Source organism: Homo sapiens, chromosome 5 (assembly GCF_000001405.40).
Source record: "Homo sapiens chromosome 5, GRCh38.p14 Primary Assembly".
Taxonomy (NCBI): Eukaryota; Metazoa; Chordata; class Mammalia; order Primates; family Hominidae; genus Homo; species Homo sapiens.
In genome coordinates this window covers 75,141,179-75,167,705 of record NC_000005.10, presented here as the reverse complement: position 1 = coordinate 75,167,705, position 26,527 = coordinate 75,141,179, and the positions used below count along the sequence as shown (strand labels likewise).

At 36.7% G+C, this 26,527-nt stretch overlaps 1 protein-coding gene across 15 annotated transcripts in view; it reads left to right on the top strand.

Moving 5' to 3' along the window:
- The window catches only part of ANKRD31 (ankyrin repeat domain 31), a 168,582-nt gene that overhangs the window by 69,173 nt on the left and 72,882 nt on the right, over positions 1 to 26,527 (top strand). For 13 of the 15 annotated variants that reach the window (NM_001372053.1, XM_017009319.2, XM_047417078.1 and 10 more), the window contains 4 exons: positions 13,361 to 13,505; positions 19,078 to 19,130; positions 20,201 to 21,719; positions 23,535 to 23,705. In NM_001372053.1, coding sequence (NP_001358982.1) covers positions 13,361 to 13,505; positions 19,078 to 19,130; positions 20,201 to 21,719; positions 23,535 to 23,705 — 1,888 coding nt within the window. The remainder of the gene's footprint in view (positions 1 to 13,360; positions 13,506 to 19,077; positions 19,131 to 20,200; positions 21,720 to 23,534; positions 23,706 to 26,527) is intronic. The other 2 variants (NM_001164443.1, XM_011543301.4) reach the window with 1 other exon arrangement.

The following is a 26,527-nucleotide window of genomic DNA, read 5'->3' as shown; positions in this document are numbered from 1 at the left end:
TTGGCCTTTGCATATATGAAATAATCTCTGGTTCCTTCAATGATGTTAAAGGAACCAAAGACACAGGCCTCTATTCCCAGAATCCAGTTTCCCCACTTACTGCATTCCCTCTTGCAATCCTCCAATCTGCCTGTGGTTCATATGCTCTTGGCACCATGGCATATCCTGACTAGTGGTGAGAGAAGAGAATGACAAGACAGGAGTGGAAGTCTAGAGAAAAGTCATGAAAATTAAAAGTTGAAACCAGTAGTTGGTGTGATGTCAGGCAAAGATGATCAGAGAAATGGCCTAGGCCCTGGGTATTGGATTGCTGAAATGCCTTTGGTGTCACAGGAGTAAAGATGTAAAACAGGGAAGCCTTGGGAACCCAATGCTGGTCCTACTACCTGGGGAGTGTGAGCTTCTTTAAGCATTCTGGAGTGTTGAAGGAACTAGAATATATTATCTTACAGGTCTTAATTGTTTTATGGGAGAGATACTAAAAGATAATATCCTATTTTCTAAAAGTGAAAAAGCAGTAAAAAAAAAAAATCCACATCTTACCATTCCATTAATTTGAAATATCCGTAATAGTCAAATCTATAGAGACAGATTAGAGATGGGGGGTCTAGAGGGTGGGGAATGGTGAGTGACAACTAATGGTTAAAGGGTTTCTTTTAGGGGGAATGAAAATGTTCCAAAATTAGATTGTGGTGAGGGTTATACAACCCTTTTAATATACTAAAAAACAATGAATTATATTCTTTAAATAGGTAGACTGTGTGGCATGTGAATTACATCTTAATAAAACTGTTAATAAATACATTTTTTAAAGAGTGGAAAAGTTAGAATTTGAGAATTACAAATGATCAGCTCAATGTTGTTCCTTAGAAAATGTGCAAAAAGTTATTAAATATATGGTTGGAAGACATAGGCAAGAATGTAGTGCTCTTTGGGAATCATAGGCATCACTAAGAACAAGTCATGCCAGACTAACCTTTATTTCTCTTTTATTAGGTTTACCTTGTTAGTAGGTAAAGGTAATGGCATTGAAATAAGCTATCAAAACTTTAACAAAGTTTTTATTTGAAGTATCCTGTAATCTGTGAGTGTATGGGATGTTGAAATGAAGGGGTTTGTTGGCATTGATTTGGGGATTCACATATATTGAAAGAATAGGCCTCAGACATGGTGATTATTCATTTTATGTGTGTCTACAGTGAACCCTTTTTTGTTTTTGTTTTTGTTTTTGTTTTAGACAAGAGTTTCCCCCTATCACCCAGGCTGGAGTGTAGTGGCGTGATCTCGGTTCACTGCCACCTCTGCCTCCTAGGCTCAAGCGCTTCTTGTGCCTCAGCCTCTTGAGTAGCTGGGATTGCAGGCATGTATCACCATGCTCAGCTAAGTTTTTGTATTTTTAGTAGAGATGGGGTTTCACCAGTTTGACCAAGCTGGTCTTGAGCTCCTGGCCTCAAGTGATCCGCCCGCCTAGGCCTCCCAAAGTGCTGGGATTACAGGCAGGAGCTGCCACACCTGGCCTTGCAGTAAACTCTCTTGTGAAAATTGATTATACATTATATTATGTGGTAGAACTCTGGACTGTTTGGCTAGAACATGAACTGATTTTGTTATTGGAGTATTTTAAAGAAATCCCAGACATAATACTATTTTACCCATAAATACTTGAGCCCAAACCTCTAAAAGATAAGAAAAAGTTTTTCATACTCGCGATATCATTTCACCTAATAAAAGTTAAGTTTCTTTATACCATTTAACATCCAGTCTATATTCAGATTTCTGAGGTTATCTAAAATATGTGTTTTTATAGAAAGTTTTAATTTGAATTAGAATACATTAAGCCTCATACATCATATGTGTTTGTTATGTATCTTAAATATGTTTTAATCTACAACAGTCCTTTCTATATTTTAGGATTTTTATGTCTCCTATTTGTTGAAAAAAGTGGCTTATTTGTCCTATAGAATTTCCCAAATTCTGGTTTTGGCTCATTTTATCTTTGTGGTATTGTTTAGCTTATTTCTTCACATATTTTCTGTAAATTGTTATGTTTTGATGGAAAATCTACTTAGAGACCACAGTCTGGATGCAAGGTATGCTCATTGCTATTGGATGTTATTGCTTTTAGGCGTTTTCAGTGAACTATATCCTTTTAGAAGGAAAAAAAATCATGAGTTTATGCTGATATTTTCATTTCAGACTTCATAGCATAGATTTATGCTTAACTTTCGTTCTCTACCTACTCGTATGTCTTTTTTTAAGCTAAACATTTGTTTCTTAATACAGTAATTGAATTATTTCTTTATCATCTAATATACTTACAATATTACTACTAACAATGCCAGTATTACTATTAACAGTGAAACTACTAATGATGTTTATTTTGGTAGTTCTTTTTCTTAAAGTATATGCTATTAGGGATGAAGAGTCAGAATACTGTCTTTTGAAGTACAAGTTGAATATTCTTTATTTGCAATGCTTGGGACAAGCAGTGTTTAGGATTTTGAATTTTTTTTGGATTTTGGAGTATTTGGACTTTAAACCTTTATGATCACATGGTCCATACCATGGAAGTGGGTACAAAAAATTACAACTCTGAAAGCATAAGACATTGAATCACAACAAAGGACACAATCTAATTGTAAAAGCTATAAAATGTCTTGGAGAGAAAAATGCCATACATATCACAGGGACAATAACAGTCAAATCCCTTAAAAATTATTAAGACACAGCAACCTAAAAATTCTACCTTTCAAACTACTTTACATTGGGAATTTAAGGCCAGCTAGGGAAATTGAAAGCAATGGTAGATACGATTAAATCTATAATTCATATACAAGCCATATACAAGCAAAACATAAAGAATTTATGCCTGGATATTTACATTTTGTTCAGCAAAGAAAATACAGAATGCATTGGTTTCTTTCAGGAAAAATAGTTTTATAAGGAGGTTGCTATAAGAGCTGTGGTGTTTATCTCTGGATGTTTTGTGTCAAATTCAGGATCAAGGAGCATGAGAAAAAGGTACGGAGGAAGGGAAAAGGCAGAAGCTAGAGCCTCACTCTTCTGGAAATCCAGTTGGTGATCCCAAGGGAGTGAATACATTACTTTGGCAGTAACTAATACTTTGGCAGTCCTTTCGCCAACTATCTACACTTACCAATTCCTCTGTAGCCCAATACTTGGAATTCTGACGCCTGCTTATGTACTCTCTACCTTTAAAAAGCTCTCTCCTCACCAAAGAGTAATAAATGACTTTCAGTGAGTGTCCACCTACTTTAAACCTACATTTAGGTTCTGTATTAGTTATCTGTTGCTACCTAACAAATTACCACAAAACTTAAAATAATAATAAACATTTATCATGTTGCAGTATCTGTGAGTCAGGAATTTCAGAGTGGCATAGGTGAGTTGGTTCTGTCTAAGGGTCTCTCATGAGGTTGTAGTCAAGATGTTGACTGGGAACACAATCAACAAAAAGTTTGGGGTTGGAAGATCTGTTTCTAAGGTGGCTCACTGACATAGCTACAGGCAGGAGCCATGTTCATTGCCACATGGACCCCTCCATAGAGCTGCTTGAATGTCCTCACAGTATGACAACTGGCATCCCCCAGGGTTAATGAATCAAGATTGAGAACAAGGAGGAAGCCACAATACTTTTTAACCTAGCCTTAGAAGTCACATACTGTCATTTCTGCCATATACTATTTGTTAAAAGCAAGCCACTAAAACTCCAGCCTGTACTCTTGAGGAGGGAAATTAGGCTCTACCTTTGGAGGCAGGAATGTTAAATTTACAGACATATTTTAAAGCCACCAGGGGTTCTTAACTGGAACAAGAAGAGAAATTTCAGTAAGTGGCTAGCATCACAGTCATCACTTATTTAGCTTAAACAGTAGGCCCCTTAAGGAAATACACTTCTACTTAAAGCTTGCCCATGGCTTTTCACCTTTGATCATACTATTGATTCAAGTACTTTCCTCCCTCTAGAATCAGCTGACTTTCTTACATAAGAAGTTAGTAGGATAGAGAATAAAATTCTTTCAAGTCCAGGTTGAGCATCCCTAACCGAAAAATCAGAAATCCAAAACTTTTTGAGTGTTGACATGATGCCATGAGTGAAAAATTTCACACCTGATTTCATATGATGATTGCAGTCAACACACTGGCACACAACATACAATTTATTCAGTCACCCTAAGAGAAAAAGACCCTCTTAGCTCCCTTCAGCTGCAATTCAGCTTTTCTGGACATGCCCAGATTCCTTCATGCAAGCACATCCACAAAGGGTAATAAAATAGCACACGTTCAGATCAGACACACCAACACCAGGTTCCCCACGTTGCCCCACATGGGGCCAAGACCTATGTGCATTACTCACTGTGGGTTTTTTGCTTATTTTCTGCTCTGTGGTATAAATATATTATTGAAAGTGTCAAAAAGGCCTGCATCATACCCATAGGGTAGTGCAAATATTCCAAAATCCAAAATTCTAAATACTGCTGGTCCCAAGCATTTCAAATAAAGAATATTAAACTTGTACTTCAAAAGACAGTATTCTTTCTCTTCATCCCTAATGGAATATACTCTAACAAAAAGAACTACCAAAATAAACATCGTTAGTAGTTTCATTGTTAATAGTAATACTGGCATTGTTAACAGTAATATTGTAAGTATATTAGATGATAAAGAAATAGGTAATTCAGTTACTGTATCAAGAAACAAATGTTTAGCTTAAAAAAAGACATACAGGTAGGTGGAGAACCAAAGTTAAGCATAAATCTATACAATGAAGTTGGAAATGAAAATATCAGTATGAACTCAAGATTTTTTTTTCCTTTCTAAAAGGATATATTTCACTGAAAATACCTAAAAGCAATAACATCCAATAGCAATGAGCATACCTAGCACCTGGGCTGTGGTATCTAAGTAGATTTTTCATTAAAACATAACATGAGAACAGTATGGGAGAAACTGCCCCCATGATTCAATTATCTCCCACCAGGTCCCTCCCACAGCACATGGGAATTATGGGAGTACAATTCAAGAGGAGATTTGGCTGGGGACATGGAGCCAAACCATGTAATTCCACCCCTGACCCCTCCTAAATCTCATGTCCTCACATTTCAAGACCAATGATGCCTTCCCAATAGTCCACCAAAGTCTTAACCCATTTCAGCATTAACTCAGAAGTCCACAGTCCGAAGTCTCATCTGAGACAAGACAAGTCCCTTCCACCTATAAGCCTGTAAAATCAAAAGCAAGTTAGTTACCTTGTAGATACAATGGGGGTACAGGCATTGGGTAAATACAGCCATTCCAAATGAGAGAAATTGGCCAAAATGAAGGGGCTACAGGCCCTATGCAAGTCCGAAATCCAGCGGGGCAGTCAAATCTTAAGGCTCCAAAATGATCTCCTTTGACTCCATGTCTCATATCCAGGTCATGCTGATACTAGAGGTGGGTTTCCATGGTCGTGGGCAGCTCTGCCTTTGTGGCTTTGCAGAGTACAGTCTCTGTCCTGGCTGCCTTCATGGGCTGGTGTTGAGTATCTCTGGCTTTTCTAGGCACATGGTGCAAACTGTCAGTGGATCTACCATTCTGGGGTCTGGAGGACAGTGGCTCTCTTCTCACAGCTCCACTAGGTAGTGCCCCAGTAGGGACTCTCTGTGAGGGCTCCAAGCCCACATTTCCCTTCAGCACTGCCCTAGCAGAGGTTCTCCATGAGGGCCCTGCCCTTGCAGCAAACTTTTGCCTGAGCATCCAGGCATTTCCATACGTCTTCTGAAATCTAGGCAGAGGTTCCCAAACCCCAATTCTTGACTTCTGTGTACTTGCAGGCTCAACACCACGTGGAAGCTGCCAAGGTTAGGGGCTTGAACCCTCTGAAGCCACAGCCCAAGCTCTACATAGGTCCCTTTCAGCCATGGCTGAAGCAGCTGGGACACAGGGCACCAAGTCCCTAGGTTGTACACAGCATCGGGACCCTGGCCCTGGCCCGGGCCCATGAAACCATTTTTTCCTCCTAGACCTCTGGGCCTGTGATGGGAGGGGCTGCTGTGAAGATCTCTGTCATGCCCTGGGGACATATTCCCTATTGTCTTGGGGATTAACATTCAGCTGTTTATTACTTATGCAAGTTTCTGCAGCTGACTTGAATTTCTCCTCAGAAAATGGGATTTTCTTTTCTATTGCCTTGTCAGGCTGCAAATTTTCCAAACTTTTATGCTCTGCTTCCTGTATAAAACTGAATGCCTTTAGCAGCACACAAGTCACCTCTTGAATGCTTTGCTGCTTAGAAATTTCTTCCACCAGACACCCTAAATAATCTCTCTCAAGTTCAAAGTTCCACAAATCTCTAGGGCAGGGGCAAAATGCTGCCAGTCTCTTTGCTAAAACATAACAAGAGTCACCTTTGCTCCAGTTACCAACAAGGTCCTCATCTCCATCTGAGACCACTTCAGCCTGGATTTCATTGTCCACATCATTATCAGCATTTTGGTCAAAGCCATTCAACAAGTCTCTAGGGAGTTCCAAACTTTCCCACCTTTTTCTGTCTTCTTCTGAGCCCTCCGAACTGTACCACCCTCTGCCTGTTAGCCAGTTCCAAAGTTGCTTCCACATTTTCAGGTATCTTTTCAGCAGCACCCCACTCTACTGGTACCAATTTACTGTTTTAGTTTGTTTTTACACTGTTGATAAAGACATACCCAAGACTGGGCAATTTACAGAAGAAAGAGGTTTAATGGACTTATAGTTCCATGTGGCTAGGGAGGCTTCACAATCATGGCATAAGGGGAAAAGCACTTCTTACATGGCAGCAGCAAGAGAGAGAATGAGAACCAAGAGAAATAGATTTCCCCTTATTAAGCCATCAGATATCATGAGACTTATTCATTACCATGAGAACACTGTTCATAGAGAAACCGCCCCCATGATTCAATTATCTCCCACTGCGTCCCTCCCGCAACATGTGGGGATTATGGTATTACAATTCAAGATGAGATTTGAGTGGGGACACAGAGCCAAACCAGACCACCACTCCAGGTCTCTTTTGCCATTTGCATGGTATGTCTTTTTCCATCCTTTGACTTTCATCTTGTTTGTTATCTTTGAATCCAATGTATGTCTCAGATAGTATATTTTTAAAAAGAATCACATCTTACCATCTCTGCCTTTTGATTAGGTTGTTTAATCCATTCATATTTAATGTTGTTATTGATATGGTTGGATTTAAACCTGCCATTTCCCTTTTTGTTTTCAGTCTATCTCATCTTTTTGTGTTTTTCCCACCTATACTGCTTTTCTTTTTACATTAAGTGAATATTTTCTGGTGTAACAATTTAATTCCTTTAATGATTTTTTTAGTATATTTTTGAGTTATGCTCTTAGTGGATGCTCTAGGGCTTCTTAAGTTATCAGAACTGACTTCATTCTTATGCTAACCTTTTTCCAGTGAGATATAGAAACATTGTTTCCGTATAACAAAATTATTTTTCCCTATTTTTGTTCTATTACTGTTATACATATTATGTTTGTATATTTTATAAATACAATATATTGTTACAAATATTACTTTATATGGTCTTAGGTCTCTTAAAGAAGCTGAGATAAGAAGAGCAAGTATTTATTTATAGAGTTTATTTTATTAAGCTTCCTATTTTACATTTCTGGCTCTGTGCATGTTTTCCTATAGATTCAAGTTACCAACTGGTATCATTGTTTTACTCCAATTCAGCTTTATTCTGATCTGCCTCTTTTGTGGTATTATTATCAAGTATATTACATTTATAAATGTTATAGGCCTTGTAATACAATATCATATTGTTTTATGCCATTGCTTTTTAAATCAGTTAAGGGAATAAAGGAAAATAAATATACAATCATATTATCTCCCATAATTATCTGTATAATTACCATTATTCATAGGCTTTTTCATGTGGATTTGAGTTATTGTCACTTGCTTTCAGCCCAGTTACCTTTAGTATTTCCTTTAAAGCAGGTCTTCTACCAATAAATTCTATCAGCTTTTTTTTTTTATCTGTGAATGTCTTTATTTTGCTTTCATTTATAGTTTTGCTAGATATAAGATTCTTGCTTGGCAGTTTTTTTTCCTTTCAGCATTTTGACTGTCTCATCCCATTGTCTCTGGACCTCATTGTTTCTAATAAGTGAGATACTAATTTTATTGGGGTTCTTATCTAAATGATAAGTTCTTTTTCCTTTGCTGCTTTCATGATTTTATCTTTGACTTTTAACATTTTGACTTTGATTATGTCTAGATATATATCCCTTTTGTTTATCTTTTTTGGAGTATGTTGTGCTTCTTAGATGTGTGCATTAATGCTTTGCATCAGATTTGGCAAGTTTTCAGCTATTATTTCTTTGAATATTTTTCTCTGCTGCTTTTTCTCTCTCCTGTCTTTCTGGAACTCCTGTAATGTGTATGTTGTTGTGCTTAATGGTGCCCTATATTTCTCTGATGTTCTATTCATTTTTCTTCATTCTTTTAAAAATCTGTTCTTCTGATTGTGTAATCTTTGTTAATCTGTCTCTCCAAATTCAGTGATTCTTTTTTTCTGTCAGCTTAAACTTCCTGTTGAGGCCTCTGGTGAATTTTTCTTTTCAGTTATTATACTTTTGAATTCCAGAATTTCCATTTGATTTTTTTAAAACTTTCTGTTTATTAATATTCTCTATTTTATAAATTATCAACATATTTTTTCTTAATTCTTTAAACATGGCTTTCATCAGCTCTTTGAACATATTTATAATAGCTGTTTTAGAGTGTTTTTTTGCACATATAGGCCCTCTCAAAGCAGTTCCTGTGGCTGCTTTTTATCCTGTGTATGGGTCATACTTTAGTGTTTCTTTTCATGTCTGTCTTTCTCTCCTTCTCACTATCTCTCTCTCTTTTGAGACAGAATCTCACTCTGTTGCCCAGGCTGGAGTGCAGTGATGTGATCATAGCTCACTGCAGCCTCGAATTTTTGGGAACAGGTGATCCTCCTGCCTTAGCTGCCTGAGTGGTTGGGACAATAGGCATGCACCACCACACCCAGCTTTTTAAAAAATTATTTTTACTTGTATTTTTTGTAGAGATGGAATCTTGCTTGTGTCACCTAGGCTGGTTTAGAACTGCTGGCCTCAAGTTATCTTCCTGCCTTGGCCTCCCAAAGCACTGGGACAGGCATGAGCCACTACATCCGGCCAAAACTGGACATTTAAGATAATGTATTATAGCAACTCTGGATCCTGAGTCCCCCAACCCACATGCCCAACTTGGGTTGCTTCTTTGTTTGATAAGTTGTGAAGTCTATTTCCCTCACAGTGTGCAGTCTTGTGACCCTGTTTGCAAAATTTTTTTCTTGTTTTTATCTTTATCCTGGTTTCCAACAGAATACCCTTGGTTCAAGACCATTTAGTGGTCAATTACTGATTGGTTAGAGGTTGTGTTTAACCTTCCTGAATCAGAAAGATTTTTACATTTTACTGTTGGATCTGGTGTGGCTTATAGACTATGTTCATTCTTCAGGGAGTTTTGAGTTTGGCCTACATTTAGCCAGGGACCAGTAACTCAGAAGTTTCTTCTCTAGCATCTCCTCAAAGGACATTGCCTTGGATATACACAACATTCTTCTGGGCCACCAAGATGGACTATAGTTTTAGCCAGGCTCTCTTTGACTATCTATTCGCTAATCTCCTAAGCTTCTGAGTAGTCTGCCTCTATTATATCACAGCCATCTGTTACTCTTCACTCATTGCTAACTCTCTGTTCTTGGTGTTTTCTTTTCTTTTGAAGGGTAGCATACATTTGCAGGTGAGTAGTTTCATTAACCTATTTACTGTCTCTAAAATCTTGGCAGTTCTTCATTTCATTCTCTCTCTTTCAGTCTAAGATGCAGTGTTTCTGCAGACAGAGCATTTTCAAAAAACCTTGTGAGTTTACCGTGTGTCACAGGGATTCATGCCATTAGACAACAGGGTCTTTCATAGATCAGGGATTCATGCCACTAGACAACAGGATCTTTCACAGATATTTCCACAGGCCCACCTATATTTCTGGCTTCTGCTAAGATGGTTGAATGGGTCCATGAGTCACATTCCTACTCTCTTCAGCATTAACAAAGGTTTTCCAGCTATGCCCTTGGCCTTCTCTACAAAGCACACTTTTCTTACAGGAATCTCCAACTTTTACCATCTTTTCCAATCTTGATGGACAGAATTTCCCAAATCATCAAGTTCTGGTTCCTTTTTGCCTAACAGTTCTTTCTTCAATTTATCTTTTTCTCCTCACATTTTACTATAATCCCCAAGAAGAAACCAGGTTGCACTCTCAGTGCTTAACTTGGAAATCACCTCAGCCAAACCTCTAAGTTTAGCATTTATAAGTTCTGCTTTCACACAACTTGCAGGACAAATCTAGGCTTTCTGGTACTGTATAGCAAGGAACGCCTTTCCTCCAGCTTCTAAAAACTTGTTCTATATTTCCTTCTGAGCCCTTGCAAATAATGCCTTTAATGCTCATTTTTTCACCAACATTGTGTTCATGATGATATATGCATTATCTAAGATGATACAGGTTCTCTCTAATATGCTCCTCCTAAGCCCTCCCTGGTAGGATCTTTAACATCCACATTTCTACCAGATGTCTGTTCAAGACAATCCAGGCTTTCCAGTTCCAAAGCCACGTCTACATTTTTAGGTATTTGTTACAATAGCACCCCACTTTCTGGTACCCAAATCTGTATAGGTTTCCTATGACAGCTATAACCCAGCACAAACTGGGTGGCTTAAAGCAACAGAAATTTATTCTCTCACAGCTCTACAGACTAGAAGTCCAAAATCAGAATCACTGGGCTAAAATCAAGATATCAGTGGGGCTTGACTCCCTCCAGAGGCTGTAGAGGATAATCTGTTACTTGCCTCTTTCAGCTTCCAGTGGCTGCCAGCCTTCCTTGATTTTGACTGCATCACTTCAACCTCTCCCTTGACTTTACCTCAGCTTTTCCTCTGTGTGTGCATGTGAAATCCTGCTCAGCCTCTTTCTTAAGGATGCTTGTGATGGTATTTAAGGCTCACTGAGATAATTGAAGATAAGCCACTAATCTCAAAATCCTTAACTTAATCATATTTGCAAAGGTCTTTTTTCCAAATAAAGTTGACATTTACAAGTTCTAGAGATGAAGACATGGATATCTTTTGGTGAGGGTGGATGAGGGGGCATTTTCAGCCTACCACGATAAGTGCGGAGGAACTTTGACTTTCCACTTAATACCTTTCTGTAATTTTTAACTTTTTTTGCAATGTGCAAATATTGCTTTTATGATTTTAAACATGAATTAACATTAATACACCAGAAGGACATGCACACATACATACACACACATCTCAGAGTACAAAGTGATTAAAAAGTAGTTTCAAAAGAGATGTGGTATACCCAAGACCACCTAGTTATTATCTCAAAAGAGAGATATATATCTTCTTTAAAAGCCTGGCACAGTGGCCAGGCACAGTGGCTCACACCTGTAATCTCAACACTTTGGGAGGCCGAGGTGAGTGGATCTCTTGAGGTTAGAAGTTCAAGACCAGCCTGGCCAACAAGGCGAAACCCCATCTCTACTAAAAATATAAAAATTAGCCAGGCGTGGTGATGCACACCTTTTCCCAGCTACCTGGGAGGCTGAGGCACAAGAATTGATTGAACCCGGGAGGCAGAGGTTGCAGTGAGCTAAGATCATGCCACTGCACTCCAGCCTGGGCAACAAGCAAGACTCTGTCTCAAAAAAAAAAAAGGCTGACATAATGTAAATTTGTGATAATCATTTTATTATAGGAAGATGAGGAAAGTGTACCTGCTGTGTCTGTGAATGGCACAAACTAGATAATATCAAAGGTAAGAGAGAAAGATTCAAACTACTTTAGTAGGCTAGGATGCTTTCTTATAAAAGGAAATATATATACGCTTTTAATTTTTAGGTACATACACTGGATAGAAATTTATATCCTTCCTCTCATTCCATACATTAACATGGAAATTTAGGCTTCTTTTAGTATAATGTTACTTAAAGCCTACTCACCATATCCTTCCTGCCCTACATTCATTCTTTTACTAAACAATACTTTTTAGTATTTACTTCACGTAAGATACTAAGATAGTCTCTGGGAATATGAAGACATATATCTGTAGTAAAAGCTTCGAAGCAACTTAAACATTCATTAATAGGGTACTGGTGAAATAAATTATAGTATGTTCACATAGTAAACTATTGCTTAGCTGCTGAAAAGAATGAGGAAGTGTAGTCTACACTGATATGGAACAGTTTCCAAGGACTTGTTAGGAGGGTGGAGGAAACAAGGCAAAATACAGAGTGTATATAATATATGACCATTTGTGTAAGAAAATATGTATACATACATATTATGTATATATACATACATACATACCTATTGGACTAGACTATTGCTGGAAAAATTCCAAATAAATTAACCACGGCTGACTCAGGAAAAAATAATAGAACAGGGGTAGAGGAGGGAAACTTATTTTGCATTGTATTTTTGTCTGAGCCTTCTGTATTTTGAACCATATTCATTAATTTCCTGTTGAAAAATAATAAATTATTTAAGAAAAAGATAGTCCCACCCTCAAGAAAGTTAGAGTACACTAGGAGAGACTGATATGAAAGAAATAAGTATAATATGGAGTATATTGGGCAGTAATATGTGTGTGAAAAGAAGGAGAAGTCGTTTTTCTCTGGGCAGCAGTGGATGGTGAGGCATTGGGGGAGCTCAGGGAGAGCTGTATAGAGGAGGTTGTTTGAGAAGTAGTAACAGTAGTAATAGATTGACCACTTTTTCACCAACAGTCTGAGGAGGAGCAGCGGCAGCACAGGTATAGACGGAAGACATAATTATCTCCTGGAACCTGTTAAAATTATATTTACTACTACAGAACCCAGTCCTAATTCTTGGTGTATTTGCTAACTTCATTTCACTAGCAGCTGAGCCACTGATGTTTCTACCTCAGCCTTTCTTGCCTCCTGCCTTTCTGCCTGCCTGCTTTCCCACCTTCCATCCCCCTTACCTCCTTCTCCCTTTCTTTTCTTCCCTCCTTCTTTCTTTTTCTCTTTCTCCCTTTCATTCTTCCTTTAGTCTTTTTTAATGATAAGAAACTCATGTATCAACAAATTAAAATTCAGTAGCAACTACATTAATTCTTTTTTTATTGGACAAGGATTTATAGATAAATCCAAACAGTATTTTCAAAAGAGATATTTGATGTTACTTAGAGTAGTCTGCTAGCACACATTCACAGTAATACACCCTCAATCTGGGTTCCCTTACATAAATAACCTTTTTCTAGGTGGCAGAGTTACTTCTTCTGAATGGAGCTGATCCATTATTTAGAAATGATGATGGAAAATGTGCTTTGGATGAGGCCAAGGATTTATGTATGAAGCGTCTCCTTGAGAGATATATCCCTAAACATCAAAAATGCCTTACATCAGGTAAGATTAAACTGCCCTGTAATAGCTATTTGTCACATCAGTGAAGTTACAGAAATTTAATTTAGAATTAAAGAAATTAAATTTATTTTTCTCATGAGTGTTGAGAAAATCCATCCAATAGTGTCTTTTCTTCATTCTGTTAATAAATCACACTGACTTGTTTGCAAATGCACATAGGACTCTAAAAGAAAAAAGAAAGGTAATACTTTTCTGCAGGTTGTACATTGCAAAGAGTTAAGAAACCTTTTATAAATTTGTTTCTTTTCCCCAAAATCCTTTGACTAAATAACATGATATGATCCCCTTTGGTTATATCCTTTTCAGTGAAAATGGCCAGGATTATTTATATTCATTCCCTAAGAATATTTTCTTATGGCTATACTTTTTCCCTCTCATCCACTGCTCTATTAAATTGAACAACAAAAGAACTTGATCTATAGTTTTCAATAAAAAATTATGTAAACATAATTTAAATACATGACATACTCTTTATACTCTCTAATACATTTGTTAGATTTTTTGGTAACAACTCTACATTCATCTGCTCAGGACTCTGCAATGGCTCTCCCTTTAATCTAGAAGAAAAGCCAGTATCCTTACAATAGCCTAGAAGTTCCTGTTATCAGCTGGCCACCCTACTGGTTAACCCCTTTTACCAGTACTTTCTACCACCATTACTCAACTTCAGTCATGCTGGCCTCCTTGCTTTTCCTCAGATATGCCTCCCCAAGTCTTAGTTCAAATGTCACCTTCTCAACGAGGCCTAGACCACCCTACTTAATACTGCAACTGCCCCCTTCTTACCTTCACTATATTAGTTATCTATCAGTATGTAACAACGAATCCTAATACTTAGCAGCTTAAAACAACAAACATGTTTTATCTCACACAGCTTCAGAGGGTCAGGATTCTGGGAGCAGTTTAACTGAGTGGTTCTAGATGAGAGTCACAGGTTGTAGTCATCTCAAGTTGCAACTAGGACAGGAAGATCCACTTTCAAATTCACAAATGATTGTTGGCAAAACTCAGATCATTGCTGGTTGTTGGCTGAAGGCTTTAGCTACTTGCCACATTAGCTTCTCCATAAGGCTGCTGACAACCTGGCAGCTATCTCAGAGCAGGTGACCTAAGAGGAAGAGAATGTACCTTAGACAAAAGCCAGTCTTTTCATAACCTAATCTTAAAAGTGATATGTCATCACTTTTGCCATATTCTGTTTGTTAGAAGTGAGTCACTGAGTCTGGCCCACACTCAAAGGTAGCAGAATTAAGCTCCACCTCTTAATATACATGGATATATTAAAAATATATCCATAGATTCACAAAAATCTATGCATATATTTTTAGAATCATTATACTCACTCTATTCCCTCTAACCCTGCTCTGCTTAGACATTCCCCATAGCACTTATTACCTAACACATTAGACAGTTGACTTATTTTTTATTTTCTGTCTTTTTCCTCCAGAATCTAAGCTCCATGAAGGAAAAGATCTTTGTTTTGTCTACTGATTAATATTAAAGTGACTTGTACGTAGTAGGCATTCAGCAAATATTTATTGAATAAATATTGTCAGTCCTCTGAAACAAAAACAAAAACAAATTCTTTCCATTCAAGAGATCCATATGTGCTTCATTCCCATTTATTAAACTGTATTTTAATGAAAAAAAATCCCCAACAGATATTTTCTCCCAAAGGCTTTTATATATTATTACCTTTAACAACAAAGGCTTCCACCTTTGCAGTTCCCCCTTTGTGTGCAGGAAAGTTTAATCTGAAAATCCTTCTCACCATGAAGTGAGTGGGCCTCCCTACATGTCCTGTAGTTCTCCCTTAATAGAACAAAACTTAGGCTGGCGGTGGAAACCTATCCTCTGCTAAAGCTCTGTGTCTTCCTGGGGACAAATAATACAGCTGTGGCTGTTGTCACTTCTTTGATACAAATATAAATTCAAAGTTCTTTGGTGGCAAGTAATCAACTTAAGGCTGAAAAGGGAGTTTCTTGACAGAACAACTCAAGAATTGAAGGAAAAGCTGAAGATCCAGACCTTGGAAAGGTCAAGAATAAAAGCAGCTCCAGGGATCTAGGCAGCAGGAACCAATGGTATCTCTCTTCAGAGAGCTGCCTATGAGGTTATGTGCTGGGCAGGCAAAACAACAGATGCTCTCTAACCCACCTCCACTGGAATTTATTTTCTATGAAGAGTCATTCATTCATTCATTCATTGTATCAGGGTTGCTATGTATCAAACACTAAATAGTGCCAAAGCCTGATAATACAAGATGAATAAGAAACAGGGATAGCCAGCAATTACGATGAAGAATGTGACAAAAGAATGCTCAGGCCCTATGAGAGTACATAAAAAAGACACATAACCCAGGCTCCTTCATGTCCAGGAGGATAACAGGACAGATATTACATATCTATCTTGGTTAATGATTAAGTGTCAACACAAACCCTTTGATAAGTCTATTAGAAAAGATCTTTTCCCGATCTAAATGGTTTTAAATGAAATTTAAAGTACATCTCTGTATTAGTTTGTTCTCATGCTGCTAATAGACATACCTGAGACTGGGTAACTTATAAAGGAAAGAGATTTAATTGACTCACAGTTCTGCAGGACTAGGGAGGCCTAAGGAAACTTACAATCATGGTGGAAGTGAAACAAACACGTCCTTCTTCACATGGCAGCAGCAAGGAGAAGTGCAGGGGAACAGCCCTTTATAAAACCATCAGATATTGTGAGACTTATTCACTATCAGGAGAACAGCATGAGAAAAACCTGCCCCCATGATTCAATTACCTCCCGCTGGGTTCCTCCCATGACACATGGGGATTATGGGAGATACAATTCAAGATAAGATTTGGAAGGGGACACAGCCAAACCATATCAATCTCCTTCCCAGCTGGGTTCTATTTAATATAAAACAGTTCTTCCAATTATTGTTAGGTGTGTCTGTTATTGAAAATTAGGTACAGTTGAGCAATCTAACAACCAGTCGTGAGAGTAGTTTTTCTTTAGGGTTAGTGGATCTATTTTATTATTTTATGGATACTTATTTTATAAATCATATACTTGATCAAGAAATGCAGTTGTCTGAATGCTATTGACAAGAACTAAGTCCTGGATCAAAATATTCTACTTTTATAGTAAAGAGAAAACTTCATTGATAATTGAAGGCTACCAGGAGGTAATTAATTAATGGTTCATTAGAGCAAAAAACTTCCTTCCAAGTAGCCAAATTGCATGAGAAGTGAGACAGACAGTAACTTGTTGAAGCCAGGTCTATACAAGCACATTAAGATAAATTATTAAAACAATCGTATTAACATTTTAAACTATATGGAAAATTGCAAATAAAATTCAGTTGGAGGCAAAAGTATATTTTTAAATTATTGCTTTGATAATCTGCTTAACTGCTTGACTTCTCTATTTTAAATAATTACAACATGCATTGTTTTGCTCTTCTGGGAATGCTTCCTACAGCATTCTAGTCTTTTCTCCAAATCCAGAATACCCTCTTCACCAGTGCCCACTTTAATCTATTCCTACCCAATGAAATTTCTTTCATGTAAAGGAATCCCAAACATTTCTCCATAGGACTAAGCTCCCACTCTTCCTTTGTGAGAGAATTTACTAAGATGGGTTGTGTTATCATGCTTCACCAGATGGTTTGAATATTTCTTAAGTTTAAACTTTCAAATTCCATGATTAATTATCAGCCTACTTTTCAATATGAATGCAAAATTAGGTTACTTAAGTAAAGAATATTTGTATGTAAATAGAGAATATTATTTCACTTAAATAAATAAAAACAGAGTATTCATTTTTAAGTTCCAGATGAAGAACTTTCAAGTATGGGAATGATGAATAAAGAACTTTCCTCATATAAAATATATTTGCTGCTTTTCTAGCTTAAAGTAAAATATATCTACTTTGATGTAGGACAAGGGTTCAGTCCTAACTTTATAGCCTCATAGGCTATAAAGCTTATAGGGTAAATTAACATTCCTAATTTTCTTATCTGTAAACTTGGGTTTATAATATCTCTGCATCTACCTGTATACCTATGGGATTGTTAATGTGAGGACTGAAGTTAATATATGTAAATATCTCAACACAGTACCCGGTACATTATGGGAACTCAGAGTGGCAGAGGGAAAATAATATAGCTATATCACTAAATATCACCACCTCAGAATTTATACCTGGGTATTAAGTTGGTTGTATTAGGGAATGTAAAGTCTTAAAACTCAGAGAAAATAAAGCCCTGTTCTTCCTTCCAGATTCTCTTAGGAACCATGTCCCTTGCAGGGTGGTTTCTGGAAAATACGATTTTTCTACTCTTTTATTTAAGATCAAAGGTTTGGAGAAGGTATAGTGTCCTTTTGCTCTTAGAAAATAATAATAACAATAATAATGGAGCACTTTCTCTATACCTAGGATTCATGTAAACACTTTACATGGATTATATAATTCAATCTTCACCATTCTGTGAGGTTGAAACTATTATTAGCTTTCATTTATGGGCATTTTATGGAGGCAGAGACATTAAGAAATTTGCTCAAGGTCAGCCAGCTGCTAAGCAGATGAGAATCAAGACTGAAACTCTGGATTGAGTCCCCAGAGACGGTGCTCCAAAGGAATAGCACCTTTTTGCTTGGTAAAAGGACATTATGTTTGACTTTTTCACCTGTATAATGTGAATGAATCAATGTCATACTTCATTATGCAGCTCATAATTTGATTGCTATCATGAAAGTTATCCCCAAGAAATAAATTAAATTGCTCTGTTTTTGAATTACATCCTCATTAAAATATTTTACATTTCTAGCTTATATTTAGGGAAATTTGTGTTATGTATCACATACAAGATGTTCATTCATTTATTCCTTCCTCTGTCAAATATTCTTTGAATATTTCCTGTGTGTAAGCCATTGTTCCTAGGTTTTTATCTTTTGTAGCCAAATGCATATATAGTTAACTTTAATGCTACTTTTATTACATAAAGGAGGCTATGAAGAGACACTAAAATACATTCCTTTTATTATCAACTCAGGCTTTTTAAAAATAATCTTTTTCCCCCTGTGCATTCACAAGACGGTTGGCCTTTTCCATCTGTGTATGTTTTACTTTAAAGAGAATGCAGCATTCAATTAGGACCTTATTAAGCAGGCATATTAGGAGATGATAATCTAATTAATTATAAAATAATTTTTCACCTTATAAAAGTAGCTTGCACACAGTTACATAATCTATTGAATAAAAAGGTCATATCTGGATATATCTGTGGGGAAAATAAATACTGAGTTTAGTGCCAATCTTTAGTATTAGTTATTCTGTTAGATCTGCTCTGCTTTCCCTATAGAAATATTTTAGCTCTCTTAAGATAGTATTTGATTTCTAATATGGAACTTATAGGAATGTTGTATGTGCCAATTTTAATATAAAATGTTTGCATAATTTCACTTATTCCACTTGGTTTTCTCGTGGCAAAGGACTGGTGGGTTTTAGAAGTCTAAAGTCTAAACACTAGAAGCTGTTTTCATTGATTTTCTCTTTTTGTTTACAGCTCAAAGGAGTAGCATTGACCCACTAGACATAGAGGATGTGTACCAACACAAGGTATATCTATGTTTAGTAATAAACATTTTTATAGGGATGTAACTTCTGGTTGTTTCATAGATTGTCAAAGGGAAGAGAAAGACTGCTGAAGCTTTAGTAATAATGACTTCACATTTGCTTTTAAGACACTAGAATAATTGCATGAGAATCAGAGGGTTCTGGGCTGTTAGTTTATGGCATATCTGGGCACGCTAATATATTGGTAACCATTTCCTTCCTCCTCCTCTTTATGGAGCTTAAGGTTTATCAACTATGTCTAATTTCCTGTGGCCTAAGCATAGTACAGGAAAGAGTCAAAGGTATTAGCCCATCCCTTCAAACTTTACATCGTGGGCAGTTACTCTTCATCTAGTACTTGAGTTGTGTGAATGAGAGGAAGCTGTGTTCCTGTTTTAATCTTAGCAGCCCATAATAATTTTTTCATACAGACCAGTTGAAGAGTATATCTGTCTTCCTGTTTTTAAGTCAATTTTTCTGCTTCCATCCCATAGTTCTCCCAGATACTAGAAGAAGAAACCCCTAATTCTAGCTCCACCTATATAACAATTGGGAGAGGAGAGTGTTTCTAAAGCATTTGTGTAAAGCTTCTTGTAAAGTTTATAGAGTCTGACTACTGGAATCTGCTTTCTTTGATTTTCTCTTGCTGTTTACAGCTCAAAGGAATAGCACCCATCCACTAGACACAAAAGATGTACACCAACACAGAGTTTCCTTGTAAAGGAAACTTTGATCTGATTAATTTAAAAGCATATAAAAATTAAGTAGATTAAAATTTATTATGTTTAATAAGATTAGTAGTGCTACAATACTGGCAAGAAGGAATTAAAATCTACAGTAGAAAGTAAAGATTAGTATACATACTGAGTCTAAATCTATTACATTTGCCTTTCTTCTATTAGTCTGCATTTCTGAAATATCAGGTTGGCTATATCCCAGCAGGATCTGTGGTTAGATTGAATTAGAAAATAATAGTTTGAATCAAATAATAGTTGATTTATCAATAATCCAGATTGAATTGATATAGTACTACCGCTGAAAATTAAAGCTAACTATGTATTTTTTTTCTATAGAAACCAAAGTTCAGTTCTAAAAGTCACATTTGGCATGTTTATAATGAAAATTCCAACAGACAGAAGCTGGAACATGTAAAAGTCAATAAAGGAAGCAAAGCGAGTTTATTTATAAATAAAGAAGATGTATATGAATATTACCAAAAAGATCCCAAAAACACAAAATTTGGTAAATCCAAGCATAAACAATCAACTCTTGACCAGATATACTCTACAGGACTCAGAAAGGGCAATCTCCATAACGTCAAAGATCCCAACACAAACGTACCAAAAGGTATAGGAAGAAGAAAAACACAACATAAAAGGACCCAAGTAGATGATGTAGACTGTAATCCAAGAAAGATACTAGCTGTCTCTCCTTCCAGGAGAATAAACAGATTGGTTACCTATCAGCAGCATATTCCAGAAACTCATAATGACCTTCCAGAAGAATTGTGTGAACCTTCCAGCTTAACTCTGTCAAGCCTGAGAAATGGATTAGATAGCAGTACTGAGGCTTGTTCAGTTTCCAAAGAGAAACACATCCAGAACCTGGATTTATCAGATAGTCAAGAAGTTCAATGCTTGGAATTAGAATCTGTTGACCAAACTGAAGCTGTTTCTTTCCCAGGGCTTTTATTACATAAAGAAATCAAGTTACCAGTTGTTACTACAGATAAGCAGCCTCACACTCTCCAGGAACAACACCATGTACTTTATAAATCTCATGAAAACAGTAACTTGGTCCCAAAAGATGAGAGATTTAACAAATGGGAAAATTCTTTCCTATCCTTTGTAAAGGAAAATTCTGATAATGATGATGATGATGATTGCTCTACCTCTGAGAAGGCTATAACATCTAAAAAGGTGTTGTGTTCTACAGGTGGCAAAAAACACTATAATTTTAAGGAGAATTTAACAAATAAAAAAGAAATGGGTTTCCAACAGTTTTTACTTTCTGAAGATCATCTTTCACAGGAAAATGAGTTAAAAGCAGTCAGCCTAACCACACTTCCAGAACAGGAAGCTGTTAATTTTTCTTATTCAGATAATGCAGTTATTTCTGAACATGTTGCAAATTATGAACAATGCATATTTGGACCTTCTTTTGATCACTCAAATGGCAATCCTGAGCAAAATTCCCTGGCTTGTATGAGAACACTTTTGACACATGAGGCTTCAAAGTTGACTAATCATGTGGAGCTATTCAAAAAGCCACAGGATTATATTCCCAGAGCACCAACTTTTTTAATGAATCAAACAGATACACATATTGTGGAAAAGATGGCAAAGAATTGTGACACTGAGAGGAATTACATTGACAGAGACCAAAAAATAATTTATTCAAATGAGCCTTTATCCATAGTTGCTCATTCTCAAGTAATAGAAACAACTAAAGTTGAAAAAAGGAGACAAAACCATCTAGAAAGTGAGACTATACACAATATAGATTCTCATTCCACTGACAATATGAGTAAAGAATTGGCCAACATCTCAAAACTTAGTCAAAGAGAAAAGAAGGAAATTTCTCACAAACCAGGTATTAGTAATATTGCTTAATCTGTACATATTTCCTATAGATTTACTTATTTTTATAGAAATTTCCAACTGAATTGTATTCAAACGATGGCCAAACTGAGAAGAATGAGGACATGTGGGCCATATTTTGAGATGCCACTAAACCTAGTAGTTAAGTAACAGTGATTACTTCGAAAGTCAAAACGATGTTATCAAAGACGGTTGCTAAGCTGATATTGACTGATGGTAATAAACAGTAGTTTTTTTTATAATTATTATTATACTTTAAGTTCTGGGATACATGTGTAGAACGTGCAGATTTGTTACATAGGTATATATGTGCCATGGTGGTTTGCTGCACCCATCAACCCATCATCTACCTTAGGTATTTCTTCTAATGCTATCCCACCAGTAGCCCCCCCACCCCATGACAGGCCCTGGTGTGTGATGTTCCCCTCACCATGTGTTCTCATTGTTCAATTCCCACTTATGAGTGAGAACATGTGGTGTCTGGTTTTCTGTTCCTGTGTTAGCTTGCTGAGAATGATGGTTTCCAGCTTCATTCATGTCCCTGAAAAGGACATGAACTCATCCCTTTTTATGGCTGCATAGTATTCCATGGTGTATATGTGCCACTTTTTTTTATCCAGTCTATCATTGATGGGCATTTGAGTTGGTTTCAGGTCTTTGGTATTGTGAACAGTGCCACAATAAACATACATGTACATGTGTCTTTATAGTAGAATGATTTATAAGCCTTTGGGTATATACCCAGTAATGGGATGGCTGCGTCAAATGGTATTTCTGGTTCTAGATCCTTGAGGAATCACTGTACTGTCTTCCATAATGGTTGAACTAATTTACACTCCCACCAACAGTGTAAAAGCATTCCTATTTCTCCACATCCTCTCTAGCATCTGTTGTTTCATGACTTTTTAATGATCGCCATTCTAACTGGCGTGAGATGGTGTCTCATTGTGGCTTTGATTTGCATTTCTCTAATGACCAGTGATGATGAGCTTTTTTTCATGTTTTTTGGCCACATAAATGTCTTCTTTTGAGAAGTGTCTGTTCATATCATTTGCCCACTTTTTGATGGGGTTATTTGTTTTTTTCTTGTAAATTTGTTCCTTGTAAATTCTGGATATTAGCCCTTTGTCAGATGGATAGATCGCAAAAATTTTCTTCCATTCAGTAGGTTGCCTGTTCACTCTGATGATAGTTTCTTTTGCTGTGCAGAAGCTCTTTAGTTTAATTAGATCCCATTTATCAATTTTGGCTTTTGTTGCCATTGCTTTTGGTGTTTTAGTCATGAAGTCTTTGCCCATGCCTATGTCCTGAATGGTATTGCCTAGGTTTTCTTCTAGGGTTTTTATGGTTTTAGGTCTTATGTTTAAGTCTTTAATCCATCTTGAGTTAATTTTTGTCCCCTGAGGGTAAGGAAGGGTTCCAGTTTCAGTTTTCTGCATATGGCTAGCCTGTTTTCCCAACACCATTTATTAAATAGGGAATCCTTTCCCCATTGATTGAATAAACAGTATTTCTATCACTCTTTCTGTTGCTTTTTAATATAGTATTTATTGAGCATCAGGAAACCTAACAACATTTTGATAGCAGGAAATTGTTAGGTCTATTCATTTCAACTATCTACTATATTCCCATCAGAGCTGCAACCAGCAAACTTTTTGTCTGTTACATAAAAACATTTTTAAAAGCTTCCATTTTCTTAAACAGTCCAGTGTGGAACAGAAACTTTAAAAAATTAGAAATTTTATTTTCTAATTGTATAACCAGGTAGGAGAACAACAACACTGATATTGTAAAATGTTTGTTTCAGATGAGGAATTAACTAATAACATCAGTGGAGATGAAATAACTATAAGAAATTGTGAGGAGATAAAAGAAAAAACGGAGTCAGAAATTCACATGCCTACTAATAGCCAAGAACACAAAACAGTTCAGAATTTCAGAAAAAGACAAAGTTTCTTAAAAACTACCTGCAACCTAGGTTTGTATTCCTATAATTGTATAGGTTAAAGTTTACAAAATCAAGCCCAGCAATTCACTCTACTTCAAGGAATTTCTAAACTTTCAGATATATTGTTTCTTTTTGTAGTTATTCACTGACTTATATGACTATTTCAGCAATATTTGTTGTTAAGGCATCACTTGATAATCCAATAATCTTTAAATATATTCATGTCATACTTCTTTCTATGACTTCTAGTTTATTATATTAGAGGAGATAAGGTAAACTGCAGACACAGCAAGAATATTCAGTGGGGACAGCAGGCGTGAAATGTATCAGATTCTTTAGATACTTCCATTCAGCCCTTTTAACATAAGGGAAATTAAAGAAACATAGCCATTAGTTTGTTTTGTGTCAGATGAGTGAACTATGTGTGTTTCACAGTACGGACAAGCTAAGCATCCTTTGATAGTTCTTGGAGATAGTTCTGTCATAAACAATAGGCTGGACCACTTCAGGTTAAACATTATTCACTGAATGTTGATTTACATACTGTCTGTTAAGAGGTAGGAAGGACACTGAATTAGGCATTCTCTATGAATATTCTTTCATTTTCCCCCTCTCATGTAAACTGAAATCCTTCTTATACATACCTCCTATAGTGGGTTGAATGCTGGCCCCCCAAAACATGCCCTGTCCTAATCCCTGTAGTTTGTGACTATTACCTTATATAGTAAAAGCATGCCTATTACCTTCTTTGCATATGTAATCAAGTTAAGAACCCTAAGATAAGGAGACCATCCTGGATTATCCAGGTGGGCCCTAAATCTAATTACTGTGTCCTTATGAGACAAACACAGGGAGATTTGAAACACACAGAAGAAATGATGAGATGAAGGCAAAGGAGCAATGTAGCCACAGCCAAGGAAGCCAAGCAATGCTGACAGCCATCAGAAGCTAGAAGAGGCACAGAAATATTCTCTCCTAGAGCTTCCAGAGGGAGTACAGCCCCGTTGACACTTTGATATTGATTTCTGGTTTCCAAACTATGAGAGAATACATTCTGTTGTTTTAAGTCACCCAGTTTGTGGTAATTTGTTACAGCTACCACAGGAAACTTCACACCTCTCTAGCAGCACTTAATCATATTTAAATGTAATTTTTAACATGTCTATTATTCCACCAGACTGTAAGCCACTTGAGCAGAGAATTGAACTGCTCCAGAGGTAAGAATTTTAGATAGTGACATCTGGGATTCCCTAAAACAATGGCAGGCTTACCTCCTGCTGATCACCCAACAGTGAATTCAACTATGCCCAAGTTCTGCCACATTCCCCTCACCCTCCACAGATTTCCAATTAGGATTTTAGTTTTCCTCACTAAAATATGAATGAACAGATAGTCAAGAATCGACAAGTATTTGCAGAAAACACCAATATGAAAGATATCAAAGTAAACTAAGCAGACCAAAGGAACCCAGAAGAAACAGAAACTATACAAGAATCAAGAAGCATCTAATATTTTTTCCAAAAAGGTATAGAAAAGAGGGAACAATAAGAGAACAATACAGAGCTTTTAGTTGTTGAAAACAGAAATTTAAATAAATAGATAATATATAGATATGTGCAGCAGGGTTACAAGGCAAAGCTTTACAAGTCTACTAAGGACAAAAAAAGAAAAAGCTGAAAATAGGAGAGAAAAGATAAGAACATTAAAGATCACTCCAGGAAATCCAGGGAGAATAGCGAGTGAACAGTAGAAGAAATCATTAAAGAAAGAATACAAGAAATGAGATAGGCATTTCCATATTGAAAGTACCACTTAGTGTCTAGTACAGTGAACAAGACACCTCACTGAAATTTTAGAACAGGAATAAAGAGAAGATCCTGAAAGCTTCCGAGAAGAAAAAACTGGTCACATAATGGAGAGAAATCTAAGTATTTAATAGCATTATACTTATTAATAGTAACATCAGATTCCAAACTACAGTGGAGTTTTTGAAGAGGTTTAGGATGAGTACTATTTGTTTCCTTTTGAATTTCTATCAGATTTTGTTATTTTATGTTTTTAGTCAAATGCTGTACAAACTTATGATGTTAGTAACATTGAGAAGTTTTTGAGTTTTTGCTCCAAAATGTATATTACATGGCTACCTTCTTTGCTACAAACACACCAGGAACAAGAATTTATACCATCCACAGTAAGAATTATTGGGAGAGTTTGTTGTTGTTGTTGTTTGAGACAGGGTCTTGTCTGTCACCCAGGCTACAGAGCAGTGGCACAATCACAGTTCACTGCAGCCTTGACCTCCCAGGCTCACATGATTCTCCCACCCCAGCATCCCTCAGTAACTGGGACTACATGCCACCACACCCCGCTAATTTTTTTTCTTTTCTTTTTTTGAAACGGAGTCTCGCTCTGTCACCCAGGCTGGAGTGCAGTGGCACGATCTCGACTCACTCACCCTGCTAATTTTTAAATTTTTTTAAGAAATGTCATCTCCCTATGTTGCCCAGGCTAGTCTCAAACTCCTGCTGCCTCAGCCTCCCAAAGTGCAAGGATTACAAGTGTGAGGCACTGTGCCCAGCTGGGAGAGATTTTTCTATTCAAACTTGCAGTCTGCAGGCCTGCAATCTGAGATATAATTTTCAAATATATTCTCTGTCTCTCATATGTATATATATACACACACACACACACACATAAGTTTTCAATTCTTCCAATAAAGAATTTTGGATTGCTAATCTCTAAAGAGCAATATGTTTTTGTCTGGGTGCCAGTGGAAGAGATATATGAGACTTATTCTTCCCTGTGATTCATATAACCCAAGAATCCATTTTTTAGAGAATGGTTCTCTAATC